This window comes from Homo sapiens, chromosome X (assembly GCF_000001405.40).
Source record: "Homo sapiens chromosome X, GRCh38.p14 Primary Assembly".
Classification (NCBI taxonomy): Eukaryota; Metazoa; Chordata; class Mammalia; order Primates; family Hominidae; genus Homo; species Homo sapiens.
In genome coordinates, this window is record NC_000023.11 from 74,900,306 (window position 1) to 74,924,579 (window position 24,274).

The 24,274-nt window shown below is 41.0% G+C and overlaps 1 protein-coding gene across 1 annotated transcript in view, besides 2 other annotated features; it reads right to left on the bottom strand.

Annotated features, from left to right (window-relative positions):
- Window positions 1-24,274, bottom strand: part of NEXMIF (neurite extension and migration factor) — a 192,597-nt gene that overhangs the window by 167,450 nt on the left and 873 nt on the right. The gene's annotated exons all lie outside the window — the stretch shown is intronic.
- Window positions 22,721-22,780: an enhancer, noted in NCBI's record as "active region_29769". NCBI's record gives its function as "activates an Ori minimal core promoter by ATAC-STARR-seq in GM12878 lymphoblastoid cells {active_cell/tissue: GM12878}" and the evidence as "EXISTENCE:reporter gene assay evidence [ECO:0000049][PMID:35858748]".
- Window positions 24,026-24,185: a silencer, noted in NCBI's record as "silent region_20907". NCBI's record gives its function as "represses an Ori minimal core promoter by ATAC-STARR-seq in GM12878 lymphoblastoid cells {active_cell/tissue: GM12878}" and the evidence as "EXISTENCE:reporter gene assay evidence [ECO:0000049][PMID:35858748]".

Genomic DNA, 24,274 nt, shown 5'->3' on the forward strand with positions numbered 1-24,274 from the left:
TACAAAAAATTAGACGGGTGTGGTGGTGCATGCCTGTAGTCCCAGCTACTCGGGAGGCTGAGGCAGGGGAATCGCTTCAACCCAGGAGGTGGAGGTTGCAGTGGGCCAAGATCATGCCACTGCACTCCAGCCTGGCAACAGAGTGAGACTCCGTCTCAAAAAAAAAAAAAAAAAGAAAAAGAAAAAGAAAAAGGAAAAACAGAAAACAACAAATGTTGGTGAGGATCTGAAAAAATGGAAACCCTTGTGTACTACTGGTGGGAAGGTAAAATGGTGTAACCACAATGGAAAGCAGTGTGGAAATTCTTCACAAGATTAAAAATAGTCACCATATGACCCAACAATCCCACTTCTGGGTATATACTCAAAATTATTGAAGGCAGGGTCTTGAAGAGATATTTGTACACCCATTGTCATTCACAATAGCCAAAAGGTGAAAGGAAATCAAGTATCCATTGATGGATGAATGGATAAACAAAATGTGGTATATATGCACAATAGAATATTATTCAGCCTAAAAAGAAGTAAATTCTGACACATGCTACAACATGGATGAAACTGAAGAACATTATGGTGATGAACATAAGCCAGTTACAAAAAGACAAATACTGTATGATTCCATTTACATGAGGTATTTAGAGTCATCAAATCCATAGGGATAGAAAATAGAATGCTGGCTGCCAGGGGCTGGGGAGAAGGGAAAATAGGGAGCTGTTGTTTAATGGGTACAGAGTTTCAGTATCACAAGATGAAAAGAATTCTGGAGATGGATGGTGGTGATGGTTGCATAACAGTGTGAATGAATTTAATTCCACACAACTGTACACTTAAAAGTGGTTAAGATGGTAAATTTTATGTGTATTTTACCACAATAAAAATAGTAAAAGAAAATATAAAGAATGGGCTTTCTGGCATGGATTGCCTTTAGAGGTAGCTGCCTGTCTATGGATATTTCTAGGCAAGATAATCTAACAAAAGTAATTAATGTTTCAGATAAAGATGGTTTAGATGATCTCCTAGGTTGTTTCCTGGAGGTAGAAAACAATTGCAGCTAAGATGTCAATGTGAGGTTTAATGATAAACATATAAATAGCCAGGATGGTAGTGCTTCTAAATTTTGTTGTAATTTGTTGCACAAAGCACCTGTGAGGCACAACTTTCACCACTTGTTTTCTCCTCACAGTTAGAAATGGTACAGTTGCTGGTTTACTTGGTTCCATTATACATCTTTCAGTTCCAGAGAATTCTGCTGGACAAAGTGTTACATGTGCAATTTACTACTGAGGCATGCGCTGTTTTATGCCTTGCCATAGAAATAGTCCTGTGCACATATATCTCCCTAATAAAATATAGTTTTCCTGAAATGGGGGCTGTTCTACTAACCCACTCCTCCATTGTTACTCCTACCCCTTCCCTTCTCCCAGCTATGATAGCATCTCACACTTAGTAGGCACTCCCTAAGTACATTTTATCTACAAATGACTTACAGCTCCAAATAAATGGAGAGAGCTCCTTTAATACCTCTACCAGAAATTGAAGTCCTGTCTCAAATCTCAAGGCAGTTCCAAACCACCATATGTGCCTTTAATATATATTAAAGACCACTGCCAAAAGTATCATTCAGGACATTTTTTAAAATTAATCATGGATGAGTCAGATTTATAGCTCAGAAATGTCGTAGGGGAAACCAAGTGAAGGGATGCAAACTGGCTCCCAGTGGGATGAGTTTTAATCCCAGCTCAAAGACTAACTTTCTATTTGGCCAAAATTTGCCTTACATTCTGACTCAAAAATAGGGAAGAGGAGTTAACTAGATCAGTAGTTTCCAACCTGAGGACCCTGGTCATCTTAACAAAAAAAAGGTAATAAATGGGATCCTCAAACCATTTTCAGTATTTCAGAACTTTAAAGAAAATGGAGAGTTTTTTCATACAGCTGCCCCAGTTAGCTAAATGTTTTTACCTTTCCCTGGAATTATAGCAACCAAGCAGAATAACATTGGCTCTCTGTGCTGATCAGCTCTGATGCATGTATGTTTATGTGTGTGTATATATATACATATATATGTATATATATTACAGTTTTATGTATGCATATGTATAGGAACACAGAAAAGCTATTATTTAATAAGTGCAGTTTTCAGGAGAAAAAACAACTCTTCAAAGTTGGGTCTTACAAAAAAAGGTAACAGAAGGATTGGGGAGGGTACAAAAAGACTGGGAAGTGCCTATCTAGCTTATCTGTAAATGAGGTCCATTGTAGCTCTTCTGGGCTCATGTATCTCCTTGCCCCTCTTGTCTTTTCCAGTGAGGACTGCAATCTTCACTTACCTGAGACACTGGAAACAAATGAATAATGGACTTCTTGGCCTGCCATCCTCCTGGGTCTGAGGACAGTTGTGAGCTTTCTGTAGTGCCCCTCGCTTACCCCTTTCACCCATGCATTTGCATTCAGACCTGTTTAGGTGTGGGCCTTTGGATAGGCAAAAAATGGCAAGGTTTCCCATAGCCCAACTGGCCAGCATGCAGGCAAGTTCTCTGGAGGTTAGATTGCAGTAAGTGCCACTTCACATTTCCCAAAGCCTGTGTGATAGGTGTGGCAGGCTCAGACTCCCCACAGAGAAGTTGTCTGCCCAGTTTGAAGGGTAAATGCTACTGCAGTGCCTAAGGCCACTCCTTATTAAGGGCAGCTTTAGCTCAGCTGCCTTTGCAGGAAGGAGGGAAAATAGATGTGGAAAGGAGCTCCCCTGTATTGAAACTTGAATCTGGAGGTAAACACAGCTGGGACTTGTTTCAACATTGGTTTCTACAACCTGGAAGCAAGAGCACCCTATGGCCTAGCAAATACACGTTCACTGAGGCTTCACTGCCTATTTCTAAACGTTAATCAACTGCAGAAATCATTAAGAAGAAAATCATTTGGCAGGGGAAAAGGTTTCTTTATAGAGGAATTTGTTCAATTATTTCAATTCAAAACCTTGAACATTCCCAGTCCTGGAGTCCTCACTGATTCTCAGGCATACACACACACACACACACACACACACACACACACACACACACACACACACACACACACACAGACCTGAGCAAGTTTGGGTCATAGATACAGCTGGCCACTAGTGTGACTTGTGGCTTTCTAGCCCTGTGAGAAAGAATAGAGCCTGGAATTGAAAAATTGAAACTGGCAAGCACTTCAGAACAACTACTGCAAATTGGTATTTGGCCAATGCAAAGAGAATCAAAGGTGGCAAGGGCAAGCTAGCAATGAATTAAACTGATTAAAGCAGAAGTACAGTGAGCTTCAGCAGGCTAAGGCCCAGCTTTCAAGACCCAAGACCAAGAATAAGGGTGTTTTCATTTTTTATTTGTTAATCTCAGCATCGTTACTTTTTTGCTGTGTGACTTTGAGCGAGCAGGTTAATCTCTCATTGCTTCACTGTTTCAAACATGTTGAACTGACTAGAATAATAAACCGTCACTTTCCTTTCTCCCAGCAAGCCTTCATAGTTAAATGCACTTTTGCACTATTACAATTAAACAATGCAACCAAAACTGTAGGCAACAATTCTAATCGTGTGTGTGTGTGTGTGTGTGTGTGTGTGTGTGTGTGTGTGAAGTGGTGTGGCTTTGTTGGGAATGGATGTCTTGCCTCTCATAGTAAGTGCTGAAGAAGTTTTAATGACTGTCACTGTCTTTGTGCTCAGGCTCTGGAAAAATTGAGCACCCCACCTCACTCCTCACTCCATGGACTGGGGAAACTACCACAGTCTTTTCCTCAGGGTCAACTTCCATGACCCAGGTAGCTCCAGAATTGGCTCCCTTTGGGCCCCAAGGGCAACACTTGCCCTTGCCTTGTAAGTGGAGGGGAGTATATTAGAGTGACCCTTGGTCACACCCTAGGCCATTTGAGAGAGTAATGAAACTTCTCTGAATGAATACTTTAGTAGCAGGAATCCTAGAAATGTCTACCTAGATCTTATTGTTATTGTTGTTTTGTTTTAGAAGAAAAAGATCTAGCCAAAGGACAGGAACAAACTTGCTGGAAAATATCCCACGCCATTGTTTTCCTCTCTACACAATTCCCTGCCTATACCATTTTAAATGGCTAAATAGCAAATATGTGCCTTAAAAATATTTACTGTCAAGATTTCAGTGTAGAAGTCTGCTTTTTGAAAAAGATGTGCATTATGACATTATAAAGTTAAGTGGAAAAAAGCAAGATAGGGTACAATCAAAGAAACAAAAGTTGTACAAGAAAAAAGATCAGAAGTTCAAAATAGGAAAATGGACAATTCTTGATATCTTCATTTTTCTTACTCTTCTGTATTTCCCATGCTTTATTAAAATGGATAATTTTTACGATGAAAAATTGCAGTTCTAGGTTTCCTTTCCCTCTCTCCCTCTCTCTCTCTCCCCACCGCTCTTTTTTTCCTTGGAAACGTTTCAAGTACAAGACAGGGATCCAGAAATCTCGAGTACAATATTCAATGAATGTGTGCCCTTGTTAAGTCATTTTCCTTCTCTGGGCCTCTGTTTTACTACTTCATGGAATGGGGTAACAGACAGGCAAGGAAGTGTCCCTAGAGACTTCCAATTTTGCTCTTCAGTATTTTACAGGCAGAACCACTAGGTTAGCCCAGCTGCCTAGAACCTTTGCAAATCAAGTCTACAGTAGGACACTGAGCTCTCTGGTCCTAAGAGCCATCAATTGGTTGGATTTTCCAACTTTCCTGTAATGTGGTTACATATTATTTTTATCATAAAAATATGAAAAAGTAATGTACATGTCATCAGCTCCAGGGTACAGTTTGAGTAGAAAAGGGGAATGTAAAAAAGAGAATAGAATAAATTCCAAAACAAGATATTGGGTAAAAACAAAACAAAACAAAACAAAAAAACTTGTTGCAGAATGACACATACATTAAGGTATTACTTACATAAATTTTAAAAACACACAGACAAGCTCTATATATTATTTATGGGAAGAGGGGAGAGGAGAGACATACTTTCATGCAAAAGTATAAAACAAAATGGAAGAATACATACCAAGCTTATCTTAGTGCTTGCTTCTGAAAATGAATGGAGAGGAATGTGACTGAAAATAGGGGATATAATTTAACTTGTCTGTAATGTTTTATTTCTCCAAGTAGAGATCCAAGTATTTCTTATATTATTCCTAGTCTTTTCAATACTTTTATAATTATTCAAAATAAAGACAAACGTCGGGCACAGTGGCTCACACCTGTAATCTTAGCACTTTGGGAGACCAAAGCGGTCAGATCACTTGAGATCAGGAGTTCGAGACCAGCCTGGCCAACATGGTAGAACCCCGTCTCTGCTAAAAATACAAAGATTTGCCAGGCATCATGGCGGGTGCCTGTAATCCCAGCTACTTGGGAGGTTGAGGAATGAGAATTGCTTGAACTCAGGAGTTGGAGGCTGCAATGAGCCCAGACTGCACCACTGCACTCCAGCCTGGGCAACAGAGCGAGACTCCATCTGTCTCAAAAACAAAACAAAACAAAAAACAAAAACAAAAATAAAGACACAAATAATTTCTAAAAACAAAACGTTGAACTATTTCTTTTCCCTATTTTTCAATATTTGTGAAATTTTCATGGATTCTTTTGATAAATGATAAATGAATTTATTCTTAAAATGAGAGAAATAGGAAAAAAAAGGCTGGGCAGGGTGGCTCATGCCTGTAATCCCAGCACTTTGGGAGGCTGACGTGGAAGGATTGTTTGAGCCTAGGAGTTTAAGACCAGCCTGGGCAAGATGACGAGACTCTGTCTCTACACAATTTTTTTTTTAAATTAGCCAGGCATGGTGGCACACGCCTGTAATGCCAGCTACTTGGGAGGCTGAGGCAGGAGGATCCCTTGAGCCCAGGAATTCAAGGCTGCAGTAAACTGTGTTTGTGCCATTGTACTCCAGCTTGGGTGACAGAGCAAGACCCCATCTCTTAAAAAAAAAAAAAGGAAAAGAAAAGAGAAATGAAAGAACGGGTAAGAGGCTGTGGACTGGGATAAGATAGAAGCTCTGGGTGCCTGGGGACCTTTTTGTTCCAAGGAAATGAACAAAATCCTGTTCTAGACCATAAGCCAGGAATTTAACAAGTGGACCTATTACAAGATATGGGTTCCTGGGTGTCCCAGACTTCACCCTCCACCATGTGTTTTTAAGCTCTTCTCTGGTTCATTTATTTTCTCCGGACAGAAATTTCCAGTGAGTCTCCTCCAACTGCCTAGCCTTTCAGGGACAAATTTTCCATCTTGGCTTCCAAGGCGGCTGTTATAACACCACAAATCACCTTCTGCCGTCCCTTCTTGAGCCAAATTCCTACTGGTTTCCAGGAATCATATGGGGAATATGGTTCTCTGAATTTATTCCCTCACAGTACTTAGCTTGCATTTCTTAAGCTAAATATCTTACTACAAAAGCTGAACTTGCTGAAAATAAAGCTTTTCATTTTTCCCCTACTGCCCTCTCCCAAGATAAATCCCTGTCACAGTCATAAATGCCATGTTTATCCTCCAACTCCAAAGAAATCTCAGGCATCCTAGCCTCTTTGCTGCATATTAATTGATCATTGAATGTATTTGCTTTCATCAACTCACTGTCTGATTTCCCCCATCATACCTTTGTCCAGTCCTTTTTCCCCAGCCCTAATCTACAGACCCTCCTTGCTTTTTCAGGGCACCTTATAATATGATGTTTTTGAATGTCTCTTCTCACTTTGACCCCCTGCCACACCCAGGAGGCACAGCCTCTCTTTCCTGATGTAACTGAAGTGCTGGTTCCAGACTTTACTCTCTAAGGGTAGCAATGACTTTGCATCTAGCCACACAATACACCAGGAAAACAGCTACAGTCAAACAAGATATGAATCCCGAGGAACATCAAGGGAAAAGTTGAAGGCCCTGCTGATGAGTGACAGGAGGTAGTTTGGGAAGGTGGTCAGGTGAGGGGAGAGTGTTAAATGAAACAGATAAGTAAAGCCCTTGTGTGTTCAGAAGCAAGAGCACCCCCCCCCCCGCCCCTTACCTCACTGTTCAAAGAGACCACTAATAGGGCAAGCTAAGGGAAGGGATCATGGCCTGGGCCTGTAATCATCACTCTGTACCTGATAGAGAGTGTAGTTGTGTCCAACTCACTTTAAAGTGTCTGAGACTTAATTCCTCCACCTGGAAGATGTTGCCACCATAGAAACTGTTACTGTGGGAAACGACCTTAGAGATCATCATCTCTAGACCAAGCCTCCATTTCACAATTTGAAAATTCTGAGGCCCAGAGAGAGAGAAAAGCTTGTCCTACATGACTATCAATATTTACCTTTCCTAAGTCCATGAAGATGTTTGTGAGGCCAAATGAAATAAAATATAGGAGTCCTTTGAGTCCTTTAGAAGGAGCTATAGGATGATCAGGTATTATTATTGGCAGCCTAAATGCCTATGGTCCCTTAACATCAATCTGTCGCCTGAATCAAAAAACACCAGTATATGATTTTACTTCCTCAGGACCACTGAACAAACAACTGTCTCCCTCAGCTGGCCATCTCAACAACCAATGGAAATGGCAGCTCTGACCTATCATCCACTGCTCCTTCTCCCACCTCAGGCTGTCTCAGCTGCTTGAGCACACCCTCTACCTGAGGATCTGGAAACAGGCTGCTTCCCTCGGCAAACATCCTCCTCTGGGCCCCTTGTGGTCACTACTACCTTATACCATGTGACACCTGGTATTTCAGTGCCATAAGTAGATGACATGGAACAGAGCCTCCTAGAGGGTTATTGGGAGTGGGGCCTAGAGCCATACAGATCAGAGAAAGGCTGAGGAAACCCAAGAGGACAGTCCAAAAGGCAAAGTAAAGAGCATACCTAGGAGCACACTTTTCCTTTCAGTGCATATTATGCCAAAATAGGCTTTCATTTCAAAGTGTAATCTGAGAGTGCTCTTGTCTAGTATATGGCCTGGTTGTCTGAGGCAGGCCTGTGGATTCTTCAGTCTAATAAACTATAAACTGAATTTTCAGAAAACAAAAGGAATTCCATTCCTGGTGTTAACTACATCCACTCTGGCCTTCCCTTAACCAATTCTACTCAGTGCTGGAAGATATTGAAGTCATATCTAAGGTTATAATATTAAAGGTGAAAATCAAAGGGAAGAGATTAATTCACTTACCTGCTTTTCAACTTTCAGTGATTGTCTAGAAGTATCCTGGCCTTAATGAATCACAAATCATGGCAGTCAGCAATGTCATGGCATCCCCACTATTTCGACAATAAACAAATGGGTTTTTCTGTTCATTCAGGTGCTAAATCCATGTAAGTATAGCTAACAAAGCATTACTGAATTAGGGAGAAAAATGTGCACATGCACGTGCACACACACACACACACAACCACCCACCCCACAGTGGCTGATATGGTTTGGCTCTGTGTCCCCACCAAATCTCATCTTGAATTATACTCCCATAATTCCCACATGTTGTGGGAGGGACTCAGTGGGAGATAATTTGAATCATGGGGGCAGTTTCCCCCATACCGTTGTTGTGGTAGTGAATAAGTTTCATGAGATCCAATGGTTTTATCAGGGGTCTCCACTTTTGCATCTCCCTCATTTTCTCTTGCCACCACCATTTAAGAAGTGCCTTTCACCTCCCGCCATGATTCTGAGGCCTCCCCAGCCATGTGGAACTGTAAGTCCAATTAAACTTCTTTTTCTTCCCATTCTCGGGTATGTCTTTATCAGCAGCATGAAAATGGACCAATACAGTAAATTGGTACCAGCAGAGTGGGGCATTGCTGAAAAGATACCTGAAAATGTGGAAGTGACTTTGGAACTGGGTATCAGGCAGAGGTTGGCACAGTTTGGAGGGCTCAGAAAAAGGAAAATGTGGGAAAGTTTGGAACCTCCTAGAGACTTGTTGAATGGCTTTGACAAAAATGCTGACAGTGATATGAACAATAAGGTCCAGGCTGAGGTGGTCTCAGATGGAGATGAGGAACTTGTTAGGAACTGGAGCAAAGGTGACCCTTGTTATGTTTTAGCAAAGAGACTGGTGGCATTTTGCCCCTGCCCTAGAGATTTGTGGAACTTTGAACTTGAGCAAAATGATTTAGGGTATCTGGTGGAATAAATTTCTAAGCAGCAAGGCATTCAAAAGGTGACTTGGGTGCTGTTAAAAGCATTCCCTTTTATAAGGGAAACAGAGCATAAACGTTCAGATAATTTGTAGCCTGATGATGCAGTAAAAAAGAAAAACCCACTTTTTGAAGAGAAATTCAAGCTGGCTGCAGAAATTTGCATAAGTAACAAGGAGCCACATGTTAATCCCCAAGACAATGGGGAAAATGTCTCCAGGGCATATCACAGGTCTTCATGGCAGCCTCTCCCATCATAGACACAGGAGCCTAAGAGGAAAAAATGGTTTTGTGGGATAGGCCCAAGGTCTCCATGCTGTGTGCAGCCTAGGAATTTGGTGCCTTGTGTCTCAGCTGCTCCAGCTGTTGCTAAAAGGGGCCAACGTACAGCTCGGCCCATGGTTTCAGAGGGTACAAGCCCCAAACCTTGGCAGCTTCCACGTGGTGTTGAGCCTGTGGGTGCACAGGTGTCAAGAATTGAGGTTTGGGAACCTCCACCTAGATTTCAGAAGATGCATGGAAATGCTGGATGCCCAGGCAAAAGTTTGCTGCAGGGGTGGAGCCCTCACGGAGAACCTCTGCTAGGGCAGTGCAGAAGAAAAATGTGGGGTTAGAGCCCCCACACAGAGTCCCTACTGGGGCACTGCCTAGTGGAGCTGTGAGAAGAGGCCCACCATCCTCCAGACCCAGAATGGTAGATCCACTGAAAGCTTGCACCATGTGCCAGGAAAATCCACACTCAGTGCCAGCCTGTGAAAGCAGCCAGCAGGGGTGCCATACCCTGCAAAGCCACAGAGGTGGAGCTGCCCAAGACTATGGGAACCTACCTCTTGCATCAGCGTGACCTGGACATGAGATATGGAGTCAAAGGAGATCATTTTGCAGCTTTAGAATTTGACTGCCATGCTGGATTTTGGACTTGCATGGGCCCTGTAACCCCTTTGTTTTGGCCAATTTCTCCCATTTGGACAGATGTATTTACCCAATACCTGTACCCCCATTGTATCTGGGAAGTAACTAGCTTGCTTTTGACTTTACAGGCTCATAGATGGAAGGGACTTGCCTTGTCTTAGATGAGGCTTTGGACTGTGCACTTTTGGGTTAATACTGAAATGAGTTAAGACTTTGGGAGACTGTTGGGAAGGCGTGTTTGGTTTTGAAATGTGAGTACATAAGATTTGGAGGGGCCAGGGATGGAATGTTATGGTTTGGCTCTGTGTGCCCACCCAAATCTCATCTTGAATAGTATTCCCATCATTCCCTCATGCTGTGGGAGGGACCTTGTCAGAGATAATTTGAATCACGGGGGCAGTTTCCCCCATACTGTTGTGGTGGTAGTGAATAAGTCTTGCAAGATCTGACGGTTTTATCAAGGGTTTCTGCTTTTGCATCTCCCTCATTCTCCCTTGCTGCAACCATGTAAGTAGTGCCTTTCACCTCCCACCATGATTCTGAGGCCTCCCCAGCCATGTGGAATTGTAAGTCTAATTAAACCTCTTTTTCTTCCCAGGTATGTCTTTATCAGCAGCGTGAAAACAAACTAATACTGTGGCTTATAGGAAAATGGTAAGATCAATGGCAAGAAAAGGTGATTCCAGGTTCTCTTCTTAGATTTGTATAAGAGTATCCTGACCCTTTGGCCCCTCAGCACAACTAGTGACCACTGTCTTCAAAAGTAAGTGGCAGCCGGATGTGGTGGCTCACACCTGTAATCCCAGCACTTTGGGAGGCCAAGGCGGGAAGATCACCTGAAGTCAGGAGTTTGAGACCAGCCTTGACAACATGGTGAAACCCTGTCTCTACTAAAAATACAAAAATTAGCCAGGGGTTGTGGCGGGTGCCTGTAATCCCAGCTACTCAGGAGGCTGAGGCAGGAGAATCACTTGAACCCGGGAAGTGGAGGTTGCAGTGAGCTGAGATCATGCCACTACACAGAGCAAGACTCCTTCTCAAAGAAAAAAAAGTAAGTGGCATATTTGGAGCCTTCTTAAAAGACAAAGTGACAAATTGGGATTTTGCTCCCATGATACCATCTCCATATCTCTGAGTAGCAGACCAGCAACACTCACCTCCTCCCCACATATACACATACTGGAAGGATCTGGGTGAGCCATAGTCTAGGGTTTTAAAACCAACACCTTGGCTTTGGGTTATAAAGCATGTTTATTTTCTCTTTACAGCCTAACTCTGAAACTGCTTCTTTCTCAAATGAGTGTGTATTTTTGTTTCATTTTAAGTCAAACGACATAGATGTGAAAAATCCCACTATAGCCCTGGCTCAATTCCCTTTTCTTTCACCTATTCAGCCAAGTGGATTTGACTGTGTTATGAAATATCTTAACATGTCAAAGCCACAGCTTTGCACATACAGGTCTTGCTAAGGGAAAAGGTCATGTGACCTGTATACTATACAAACAATACATATTCAATAGACACTAGGTATTCCTTTTCCCTTGCCAAGAGATACAGTACACAGGCAGTCCATAAATACAAGCACATTAGGATGTATACACACATAGAGCCAGTAAGGGAAAATATAACGAACTGCCCCAAGGGGAGATTGAAAACACTGAATCTACATTAAGTACACCCCCACTAATCTAAGCAAAGAGAGACTTGAGAAGGCAACAGTTATTTCAGTGTACAAAGAAGCTGTGTAACAGGGTCCACTAACTCTTTGGGACTTGGACAAAAAGTGCCAACAAGTCAACACAGAGCTCAGTGAAGGACAGAGTTCTTACATAAATGCTCCCCACCTGGCTAAGCATGCTGGAAGTCTCAAGGATTAGAACATTAAGGCCACCAAGATGCCAAAGAAACCCTAGATCCTATAAACTAAATGAATACCCTTTTCACAACTCACTCTTTTCTGTTAACGTTTCCTCAATCAATGGTTACCTCAGTCATGGAGGTCAAGTATGTTGCTACAAATAAGCAAACTAACTGCCATCTAATAGGGAAGACTTTCCCTCTACTCAAATAGAGTGGTACTAGGATCTGCAGCATGCCACACCATGTCTTTTACAATGGCTGAGAGGACAAAACTTAGTTAATACTATGGATACTAACTCTGCCCTACTGGATCCATATTAACCAGATGAGTTCTCTGTGCCCATATTTCTCTAGATAGAACTCACAGCACCTCAGGTTTTGGAACCAAACCCTAGCCATGGACCTCAGATACAATAACTAGATCCTTGTCTTATTCCATCTGTGCCAGTTTTCCCAAACCCCAATTCCTGTAGTGCCAAGCTCTTTTACTGCTCCCTCCCCCAACCTCAGTCTTCCTAGAGCAGTGACAGAAATGCTCTACATATATGTTATCCAATATGGTAGCCACTAACCATACATGGCTACCAAGCACTTGAAATGTGGCTGAATTCCAACCCCTAACAAGCAATAATGAGAAGTCCTGCCCTCCAACTGTCAACAAGCAAGCAGACTTCTACTACCATCTGGCAGTAACAAGACAGCAACTCCCTTCCCCAGGAATTGGAGGTCCTGGAGCTAGAGCAGTGCCAGAGAAAGCCAGATAAAACAGAAAGTTTAAATAAGATCCAAAGTCTCATGACATACCACAAAACGTATATATTTCTATAAAAATCACTTATCATACCAATGACCAGAAAGATCTCAAACTGAATGAAAAAAGGCAATTGATAGGTGGCAAAACCAGGATGAAAGAGATATTAGAATTATCTGACAAAGATTTTAAACCAGCCATCACAAAAATGTTTCAATAAGTAATTAGAAACACTCTTGTAACAAACGAAAAATAGAAAGTCTCATAAATATAATAATCAAAACATAAAAACTCAATGTATGGTCTCTACAACAGAATGAAGAAGATGGAGAAAAGAATCACTTAACTTGAAAATATAATGATAGAAACTATCTAGTCTGAACAACAGAGAAAAAATAGACGAGAAAAATGAACAGGCCTCGGGGACCTGTAGAACTACAAAAACAAGATCTAAGTTTTCTCTCATCAGAAGAAACCATGAAGAATAGAAGGCAGGACAGAAACATTATTTGAAGGAATAATACTTGAAAACTTCCAAAACTTGGCAAAAGACATAAACCTTCAGACATAAGAAGCTTAGCATATACCAAACCAGATGAACCCAAAGAAATTTTGCCAAGGCACATCATAGTCAAACTTCTAAAGACTAAAGAAAAAAAAAAAAACCTTAAAAGCAGCAAGAGAGAAATGACACCCTAACTACAAGTGTAAAACAATTCAAATGAAAGCAGATTTCTCATCAGAACCCATGAAGACCAGAAAGAAATGGCACATTTTTCAAATGCTTTCAGGAAACAACAACAACCTGTCAACCAGGATTTCTACATCAGGTGAAAATATCCTTCAGGAATGAATGGGAAATCAATAAATTCTCAGAAGAAGGAAAACTAAGATAATTTGTTGCTAGCAAACCTGCATTAAAAGAATAAGTAAAGGAAGATCTCTAACAGAAAAAAAATGTAAAAGAAGAAATCTAGAAACCTCAGAAAGAAACAACAACAGAAAGAGTAAAAGGGTAAATATAATTGACTTTGCTTCTCCCATTGGGTTTCTCAATTATGTTTGAGGGTTGAAGCAAAAATTGTAGCATTGTCTAATGTAGTTCTAGATATATGTAGAGAAAGTAAGGCAATTATAAGTGGGGAAGGTTAAAGGAACTTAAAGAGGGGTAAGGTTTCTATAATTTACTCAAACAGGTAAAATGTTGATACTAGTAGACTATAATAAGTTATGTACTTACAGACACTTTGGAAAATAGATTTTCAGTTTCTGAAAAAACTGCAAAATCAGTTTTTAGTTTAAAAAACTAAAACATACATTTACCATACAATGCAGCAATTGCACTCCTGGGAGCTTTTCCCAGAGAAATGAAAACTTATGTTCACACAAAAATGCTAGGCCAGGTGCAGTGGCTCATGCCTGTAATCCCAGCACTGTAATTCCAACTCTGTAATCAGAGGCTAAGGCAGGTGGATCACTTGAGGTCAGGAGTTTAAGACCAGCCTGGCCAACATGGTGAAACCTATCCCTACTAAAAATACAAAAATTAGAAAAATTGACCAGGCATGGTGGCATGCGCCTGTAGTCCCAGCTACTCGGGAGGCTGAGGTAGGAGAACTACTTGAACCTGGGAGGTGGAGATTGCAGTGGGCCGAGATTGTGCCACTGCACTCCAGCCTGGGCAACAGAGAAAGTCTCCGCCCCACTCAAACAAACAAACAAACAAAACCAACCAACCAAACAAAAAGCACCTGTATGCTAATGTTCATAGCAGTTTTATTTGTAATAACCAAAAACTCCAGACAACCAAAATTTCTCCCTACAGGTGAATGATTAAATAAATTGTGATACACTAATACCATGTAATACTGTTCAACAGTAAAAAGAAATGAATTGTTAATGCCCAAAACAACTGGAATAGATCTCAGGGCATTACGCTGAGTGAAAAAAGCCAACCCCCAAAAGTCACATACTCAATGATTCCATTTATATAAAAATCTTGAAATGATAAAACTTTAGATATGGAAAATATATTGGTGATTGCAAGTTTGATATGGCAAAGGAGTGGGGGTGAATTACAAAGACTATAAAGGTGTAGCACAAAAGAGATCTCTAGCGGTGATGAAATAATATTTTATCTTGATTGTGATGGTGGATACACAAATATACATGTGTGCTGGCTGGGCACGCTGGCTTACACCTGTAATCCAAGCAATTTGGGAGGCCAAGGCAGGAGGATTTCTTGAGTCCAGGAGTTCAAGATCAGCCTGGGCAACACAGTAAAACCATGTTTCTACAAAACTAAAAATAAATAAAAAACACAAATATACACATGTGATAAAGTGATACAGAACTACACAGAACTATTATGCAAAATGTAACCATTGGGGCATTGGGAGAAGGATACACAGGGCCTCTCTGTCCTTGCAACTTCCAGTGATTCTATAATTATTCCAAAATAAAAAGTAACAACAAAAAAGTCAAGTCACTGTGGTAGGCAGAATAAAGGCCTTCAAAGATGTTCACATCCTACTCCTAGAACCTGTGAATATGTTAGGTTACATGGCACAAGAGGAATTAAAATTGCAGATAGAATTATGGTTGAAAATCAACAAATCTTGGGATGGAAATATTATCCCAGATTATCCATCCAGATAGACCAAATATAAGTAGAGGGGTCATTATAAACAGAAGAGGGAGGTAGAAGAGTGAGAGTCAGAAAAGGAAATGTAATGATGGAAGCAAGATTTAAGTGATGCAGTGTGAGGAAACAATCTCCCATCTCTGGCTTGAATATGGAAGGGGACCATGAGCTAAAAAATTCCAGCAGCCCCTAGAAGCCAGAAAAGCAAGAAAATGGAGTCTCCACCCAGAGACCCCAGAAATAAATATAGCCCTGCCTACACCTTGATTATAGCCTAGTCAGTGCCTAGTTCAGACAATCTCTGACCTTCAAAACTGTAGAAATATAAATTTGTTGTTTTAAACCACTAAGATTTTGGAAATTTGTTACAGCAACCATAGTAGAAAACTGCTAAAGCTACCAAATAGGGGTTAAAAATCAACTCACTCAAAGATGGACAGCTGGCTTTTTGCAGAGTACATTCAATTCATTAGTCAGAATCAACAACTCCATACTATAATTTTAAGGCAGTAGTCAATACATCACGGCTAATGATATTTGCAATTCCACATCACCAATGATAGCAGTGATAGAAATGTTGCCTCAGAATCACAGGGAAACAATCACATTATTCCCTATTAAATGGGGCCTGCTAAACTAATGCAAGGATAAGAAAAGAAGCATTTTTGCCATAGGGGCTGGAAATCTTGTCTCAACCCAGCTAGAGATACCTATTTGCCAAGAAACTCCCTGAGGTTTGATTTGTCTCCTCCAAAACTCATTTTGAAATTTAATCCCTGATGTGGCAGTATTGAGAGGTGGAGCCTTTAAAAGGTGAATGGATTGATCCATTCATGGATTAATGGATTAATAGGTTAATGGATAAATGGGTTATCACGGGAGTGGGACTGGTAGCTTTATAAGAAGAGGAAGAGAGAGACCTGAGCTAGCACATTCAGCCCCCTTGCCATGTGATGCCATGGTACTGCTTCAGGACCCTACAGAGAATTCACCAGCAAGAAGGCCCTCACCAGATGCAGCCCCTCTACCTTGAACTTTTCAGCCTCCATAACTTTAAGAAATAAATTCCTTTTCTTTATAAATTACTCAGTTTCAGGCATTCCATTAAAAGCAACAGGAAACAGACTAAGACATTTACCAAGGGGTAGAACATAGAAACAATAGAAGAATGCATTGAATTAGGAAAATAGGGGGGTAAATTCATGCAGATGGTAAAAAGACCCAGCCAGGAGCAAAGCTAATTCCCTATGAGACAGAAAAATTCATTTTATTCTTTTATCTGTCCCCAATATCTCAGGGCTTAGCACAGAGTAGATGTTCAATAAGTGTTTGCTGAATTGAATCAGTAATTATCATTAATGGACCCCTCCAGTCTTAGGGTTCTATTAACCCACATGCTCTACAGTATTCTAAACTACCAAGACAACAAGCAATAAACATTTATTCATGAATCTGAATACCACTTGATATGGTTTGGATTTGTGTCCCTGCCCAAATCCCATGTTGAATTGTAATCCCCAATGTTGGAGGACAGGCCTGGTGGGAGGTAGTTGGGTCATGGGGGGCAGATTTCCCCCTTGCTGTTCTCATGATAGTGAGTGAGTTCTCATGAGCTCTGGTTGTTTAAAAGTGTGTAGCACCACCTCCTTTGGTCTCTTCCTCCTGCTCTGGCCATGTAAGACATGCCTGCTTCCACTTCTGCCATAATTGAAAGTTTCCTGAAGCCTACCCAGCCATGCTTCTTGTACAGCCTGTGGGACCATGAGCCAATTAAACCTCTTTTCTTTGTAAATTACCTAGTTTCAGTTATTTCTTTATAGCAGTATGAGAACAGACTAATATACCACCTATTACTACCATCCCAACTGCAAGGCGCAGATGTGGCATATATTTGTGTTTGCAGAGCTTAAGGAACTTTGCCTTTAATATATGATGTTAGATATCCAGGATGAAATACATTAACTCTCTCCAAGATGTCTAATACTCCAAAAAGCTCATGTGTCTCAAGGTCCCCATGAAGGTGTCTAGACACCATCTCCCTCTCTGACTCCATCACCATACCTAATGATTGGTGCTAGAAAGAGTTCCCCACATTTGTCAGAACCTTGGCTAAGAGAAATATATAGAGTGAGAGAAACAGATGAAACAGAGAGAGGTAGAGGCAGATGAAATGTGAGTGAGCTTTTATGGAATATATTTTATATATTAATGATGAACTTGTGTGTGGGGTGTGTGAAAGCTGAACAGGCATTTTGAAGAATCAGAGAGTTGACAAGTCAATAATTTGGGGAAACTAGTCTTGACGTTTTTGGTGAGAATGGTAATGTAAAAGTGAGTGCTAAGTGGCTCTTCTTCATAATAAAAAAATGTCTGTGAAGGCTAATCAGAAAAATGCTTGTACGGTAGCTGAGGGATGTGGCCCATAAATATACTAATAACATGTTTTTTGAGAGAGACATTTAATGGCTTCCATTTCAAGCTACCATGACCATGACAGCCATACAACAAGAATTCTGTAACAGCTAGGGAAAGGCCAGCACGGAGGTTTAAACTCACAATATATGGCTGGACTTCCTGAAAATGTATGCAAGTGTTACATGTGTAAATATGCACTTTTCTGAAGAGAGTATCCTTGGCATTCACTGAATTTTCACAGGGGTTCATGCCAAGGTTAGGGACTATTGGCTAGATGGTGATGACCCACTTTTTCTACTTCCCTACTTAGTAAAACAGCACATCTTCAGGATGTGTTCCAGTTATTTAGTAACTAAAGACAAAGCATGTTCCTATTCAAGCAATTTGCTGAGATCTAGTCTCTGGGTTAATAAATCATATGCATGTCTGGAATAACATGACAAATATTGGGGAGGAAGGCATAAAGAATTTAGTGGCACAACAAAATTTGGATTACTCACCTAGGCAGGAAAGAAAAAATAGCTATTGACATTTTGACTCAAACAAAAAAATCCATTTGTGGATTTCACTTTTCGGGTCACCCCCTGCCACTCTACCAGGCTCTGGACAATCTCCAAACACTAGATATGAGCTGAAATATAATCATGAAATGTGGACTCATCCTAACATTGAACTAAATGAAGCTCAATTAAGAAGAGGAAGCCTGAAAATGTTTGCAGAAGCAACTCTAAATGGCTCCATTTTTTTTCTTGTCTGCATTATTTCTTTTTCCATGGCAGGCCAGATTTGGCCTGTGGGCCATAGTTTCTTTTAACTCCTGCCCTAGATCGATGAAAGCCAATCATGGATACTGGGAGGAATGAGAGGTAGTTGAAAAGATCATCGTGTCCATTATGGAAAAGGCAAATTGAAAAACTATATACATAAGAGTAATGACCACATACAAACTATTTGAAATAGAAAGTTGCCTGTGCACTTCTCAAACCTATTCTGAAAAGAATTAACACTTCTCTTGGTGCTATGCCCTTGTATCTCACAAATACCATGGTCAGGATGTTGCTTCTAAACCTAAGTTTCTCCTGATAAACTTTAAACTTATTAATTCTTACCAGTCTTTCATGAAAGTTAGAGCAGCCATTTTCCAGCATGCAGACATCACCTCTTTATGTGCATGTGTATGTGCAAATACAAACAGGCATTTAGGAGAGATGCCTTTGGAGCCAATAATCCAATTCTGTTGAGCCGAAACCCTGAATCATTTCAGGGGTTCTTCTCCAGAAAGATCTCTTAACTAGGAAAAAGATAGGTTGAGCTGGGTTAGGGGACTATAATGTCTCCAAAGCTCATTATACCCTCAAGTTTTGCAAATATAATCACCTCCCCAAATTGAGAATCATGGTTTCTTTCAAAGGTGGCTTATACTAAGGTGATCACAAAATTCTTTTCCAAACTGGGACATTTTTGAGGGTAAAATAAGTATGCTGGAGCAACAGGCATAAACCACAACATATGGTCACTCTACTTATAGTCCTCCATAGAGGAAATGTTTTAACTTCCCCTAAATAAAATGAATTGCTACACCTGTTCTTTTTTTTTATTATTATTATACTTTCAGTTTTAGGGTACATGTGCACAATGTGCAGGTTTGTTACATACGTATACATGTGCCATGCTGGTGTGCTGCACCCATTAACTCATCATTTAGCATTAGGTATATCTCCTAATGCTATCCTTCCTCGCTCCCCCAACCCCACAACAGTCCCCAGAGTGTGATGTTCCCCTTCCTGTGTCCATGTGTTCTCATTGTTCAATTCCCACCTATGAGTGAGAACACGCGGTGTTTGGTTTTTTGTCCTTGTGATAGTTTACTGAGAATGATGATTTCCAATTTCATCCATGTCCCTACAAAGGACATGAACTCATCATTTTTTATAGCTGCATAGTATTCCATGGTGTATATGTGCCACATTTTCTTAATCCAGTCTATCATTGTTGGACGTTTGGGTTGGTTCCAAGTCTTTGCTATTGTGAATAGTGCTGCAATAAACATATGTGTGCATGTGTCTTTATAGCAGCATGATTTATAGTCTTTTGGGTATATACCCAGTAATGGGATGGCTGGGTCAAATGGTATTTCTAGTTCTAGATCCCTGAGGAATCGCCACACTGACTTCCACAAGGGTTGAACTAGTTTACAGTCCCAGCAACAGTGTAAAAGTGTTCCTATTTCTCCACATCCTCTCCAGCACCTGTTGTTTCCTGACTTTTTAATGATTGCCATTCTAACTGGTGTGACATGGTATCTCATTGTGGTTTTCATTTGCATTTCTCTGATGGCCAGTGATGATGAGCAGTTTTTCATGTGTCTTCTGGCTGCATAAATGTCTTCTTTTGAGAAGTGTCTGTTCATATCCTTTGCCCACTTTTTGATGGGGTTGTTTGTTTTTTTCTTGTAAATTTGTTTGAGTTCATTGTAGATTCTGGATATTAGCCCTTTGTCAGATGAGTAGGTTGCAAAAATTTTCTCCCATTTTGTAGGTTGCCTGTTCACTCTGATGGTAGTTTCTTTGGCTGTGCAGAAGCTCTTTAGTTGAATTAGATCCCATTTGTCAATTTTGTTTTTTGTTGCCATTGCTTTTGGTGTTTTAGACATGAAGTCCTTGCCCATGCCTATGTCCTGAATGGTAATGCCTAGGTTTTCTTCTAGGGTTTTTATGGTTTTAGGTCTAACGTTTAAGTCTTTACACCTGTTCTTGACAGAGGATGACTTGGCACTACTTTAGCACTCAGGCCCAAGGTATAATTAATCTTGGTCTCAAACCTCTAAACCCCTTCAGAGTAAACATCAGGAGGAACTTCTTGTTTAAGCTAGTGGTATAACACTTAAAATGGGCTACTGAGGGTGAGAAGCTGAAAATTTTTTTAATGGGGCTTGAGGGTGCTAGAGAAAACAGTAGATAATTGTTTACATCAAAATTATCACACTGGGGATAAATAAGATGACATATTGAAGTGCTCTTTGGAAAAGTAATAATTGTGTACATAGTATTAATAGTTGGTCATGAAGACTTCAGCTTCTTTTCCACCAGAGAAGATGGTAGGGAAAGAAATCAGATCATAGTGCTTACCTGCAGAAAAAGACCAAAATGAGCACGTTCCCTAGCAGAGGCCTGTGAATCACTGTGGGCAATGAGGGACTGAAGGGAACAGAGACAATGAAGGTCCTCACGCCTACCTGTAGCTGGTCCATAAAAGACTCTATCATCACTAAAAGGCAGCTTTCCCCAACCCTCCACTTTCCCAACTGACGACACCCCAGACCAGATTTCCCCAAGGTTGTGATGTACTTACAAACAGAGCCACTTGTTGTTTGAGAAGACACGAATGTTCACCTCTGCCTAAAAAGAAATTTTCTGGGCAAGAGAAAAGGTGTGAACTTAAAGGTAGCTCCAAGTGATGCAAACTTGTCTGGTGCTCTTTGTTTTTGTTTTTGTTTTTCTAATTCTTATGGGTACGTAGTAGGTGTATATATTCTTTGTTTTGTTTTCAAGCAGCCCTGGAGAAGTGCCATAGAGAACGTAACAAGTGCTTTGTGTCTGACCCTATGACCTTGGGTTTGAAAAGGTGCTCTGGTGGAGAAACTGTCCATTAGGGAGCTGGTGGCCAACTTTTCAGAGGAAGTAAAAGAAAAAAAAAATGAATAATGTCCAAACCAAAAATCTCTTAAGATGGGAAAAACAAGGAAGCCAAATGACCTACTCCTTAGTCAATCATTCCCCTTCCCTTTCATCCACTTTGGCCCTTTTCTCCTTTTGCTTACTCCTACCGGGAACACTTATATATGTGCCATCAGATAAAAGATTAAAGATAATGTAACAGTCGAATGCCATTTAGAATCTATTTTTCTCCCCTTACTAAGGGATATACAGAAGAAAAAATATTATTTACTAGAACTGGATTTAGGAACAGAGAAACTGCAACCAATGCTTCTCTGGATAGGCCAGTCCTTCTCCTATGCAAATACACTATGGTGGTCCGTGAGACGAGGACCTCCATAGTGACCGTGTCCAGGATCCATGAACCCATCTTTGTGTGCTCCAACACTTAGCACTTTTCTCATCTTCTCCCACCTCCTAAACACAGGCAACACCACCTCACCTTTAGTTCTCTCTGCTCACCAGGTAGCTTACAGGTAACCAGAAGATTGTGGAAAAAAGAAAAAGAGGGAAAAGGGACAGACTTGAAGTAAAACAGAAAGTGGCAGTACTGCAGTTGTTTGACTTTGGCAACAGGGTGTTATGGGTGTGTGTGTGTGTGTGTGTGTGTGTGTGTGTGAAAAAGCACTGATGCATCAAAGATTTATTCACTGAACAGGTTGATTTATTTAACAGACTTGACATATGTCAAATTCTGCCATGTACTTACATAATTGTTACCAATTTATCAGAGCTGTTATTTAGGCAAATATTTGCTTTAAAAATATTTTCCTTTAAATGACTTTCTCTAGCTTACTGCACAATCAATCCGTGGTTCATTTAAATTATGTTATGTTAACAATAGCTATTTGGTGAAGGTCTCTCAAATCTAATCTTCCCGGAGCCATTTCATCTCTACTCAAACTCTATCCCTCTTTTTTCCTAGTAATAAATTTCTGGCTAAAATCACACCATAGGGAAAACTTTAAATATATGTACAATGTATTTTTATGTCATGGTATTTTACACTTACGATTTACAAAAAAAAGCAGTTTATCAGTATATTGTTAAAATCACAGATCTGAATGCTGTTAACCTTAAAAACTGTCTAAAAGGAAAAAAGCATGTGTTTTTGTATGAGTTTATGTCTGGGGGGGCCAGTTGGGACAGCCAGGTAGAGAATTCATCAGAATAAGAGAAAGTAAATAGAGAAATTTCAAGTCTTACAAATTTTGTTCAATCACCCTACCCCATGTGCACCAAAAAATTATATTTTTTTAACTAGCATGCATGCAATCTATCTAGATTTTCGGGGAGGTGAAATATTGGAAAGTATTTCTAAGAGACAAAAATGTCTAATCACTAGCCACCAGGGCTAGTTTCAGTTCCTCTATTGTAAATACGCTATTTGCAAAAACAAGAAGCTCATTTTTGACCTCCCAGGTTACGCAGTGTGGGGACTATGAAAGACATGGAGGAAGAAAGGGAAATACCACCACCACACAGTAAATTTTTGACCTAGTAAGCAAATACGTTTTTGTTGTTACTGCTGGGTAAAATGTATGTCTTCCAGAAATTAGACACTGTAATAAAAATGTACCAGCCCAAATTTAAATTGCTCACTAGACAGATGGTTAATTATATTCACAGCCACATATTTCACTGGGATAGAGTTTCAGACACTCAGCCAGTTTTATTTGATTAGCCGGTTTCCCAGTTAATATGTAAAATGACAGTTACTTAGGACTTTTTTGTTCCCTTCTAAAAATATTTTTTCAATAAGTGTAAATTCTCCTCAGCCATAAGAACGTCACTGCTGTAAATAAAACGTTTGGTCATATGTTACCTCATGTGTAAAAGATGTAAGGGAGATTCACCCCTCCAAAACACAAATGGTCGTAAGGAGTTCAGAGAAGACCATTACAGCACCTTTTCTCACCAAGCAAAATATTCCAGGAACTCCTCCACCAAAAACAACCAAGGATATATTCAAATCCCGGGATTAAAGTGCTTTAGACATTTTTAAAAACAGCCCTGCCAGCCCTACAACACAAATCATGTCTTTTCAGATAACAGTCTAGAAAATGCAACATTAGAAAAAGGCCACATATCTAAATGTAGTGCTGTGCACAGCATTCAACAATATGCTGGGAGCCAAGATCCAGAAGCAAAATATGAGACCCACTTATTCCAAAATGCAACCAGAAGCTTGATAAAAATCAAGAGTGCTGTTGTCGAAATGGGGATGCCAATTTTTTTTTAACTTCGAAAAAGACAGAAAACCTTGCGCGGGTGATTCGGTCCCTCACGAATCAGACAGACAGAAGCAGTCATGCTGAAATCGCTGAATTCCTCAGCGGAACGGCGCCAACTCAGCAGCGCGGTTTCCACACTTTCCCGGAGCGGGACTCCGCTCCCCGCGCCGGCTCACGGCCTTCCCGCCCTACAGGGTGTACAAGACGCGAGCCGACGTGTGCTGCGGGGCGCGGCAGAGAGAAGCGCCAGAAGCCACACAGAAAAGCGTCAATTCGACCGCCACCGAGAGCGCGAAGGGGCCACAAGCCAATTTCCGCAAAGGAGATGAGCTGGGCGAGGCTCGGTCTGGCCTCCAACTTAAACCTGTCCGCAGCCTCGGCCGAGTGGCGCGTGTCCTGGGGGCGCTCTGTGGTCGCCACGGCCGCCCGGCTTCGCACCTTTGCGGCTTTGGTCCGAGCGCCCGGCCTCGGCCGCCGCGTGGGTTTTCCCGCTCTCGCCGAAGCGTGCCATGCCCATGCCCCATTCCCTGGCCAGGCTCTACCCTGCACCAGTCCGAAAGGAGGCGGCACTCTGCCGAGCTGCGTGCGTGTAAG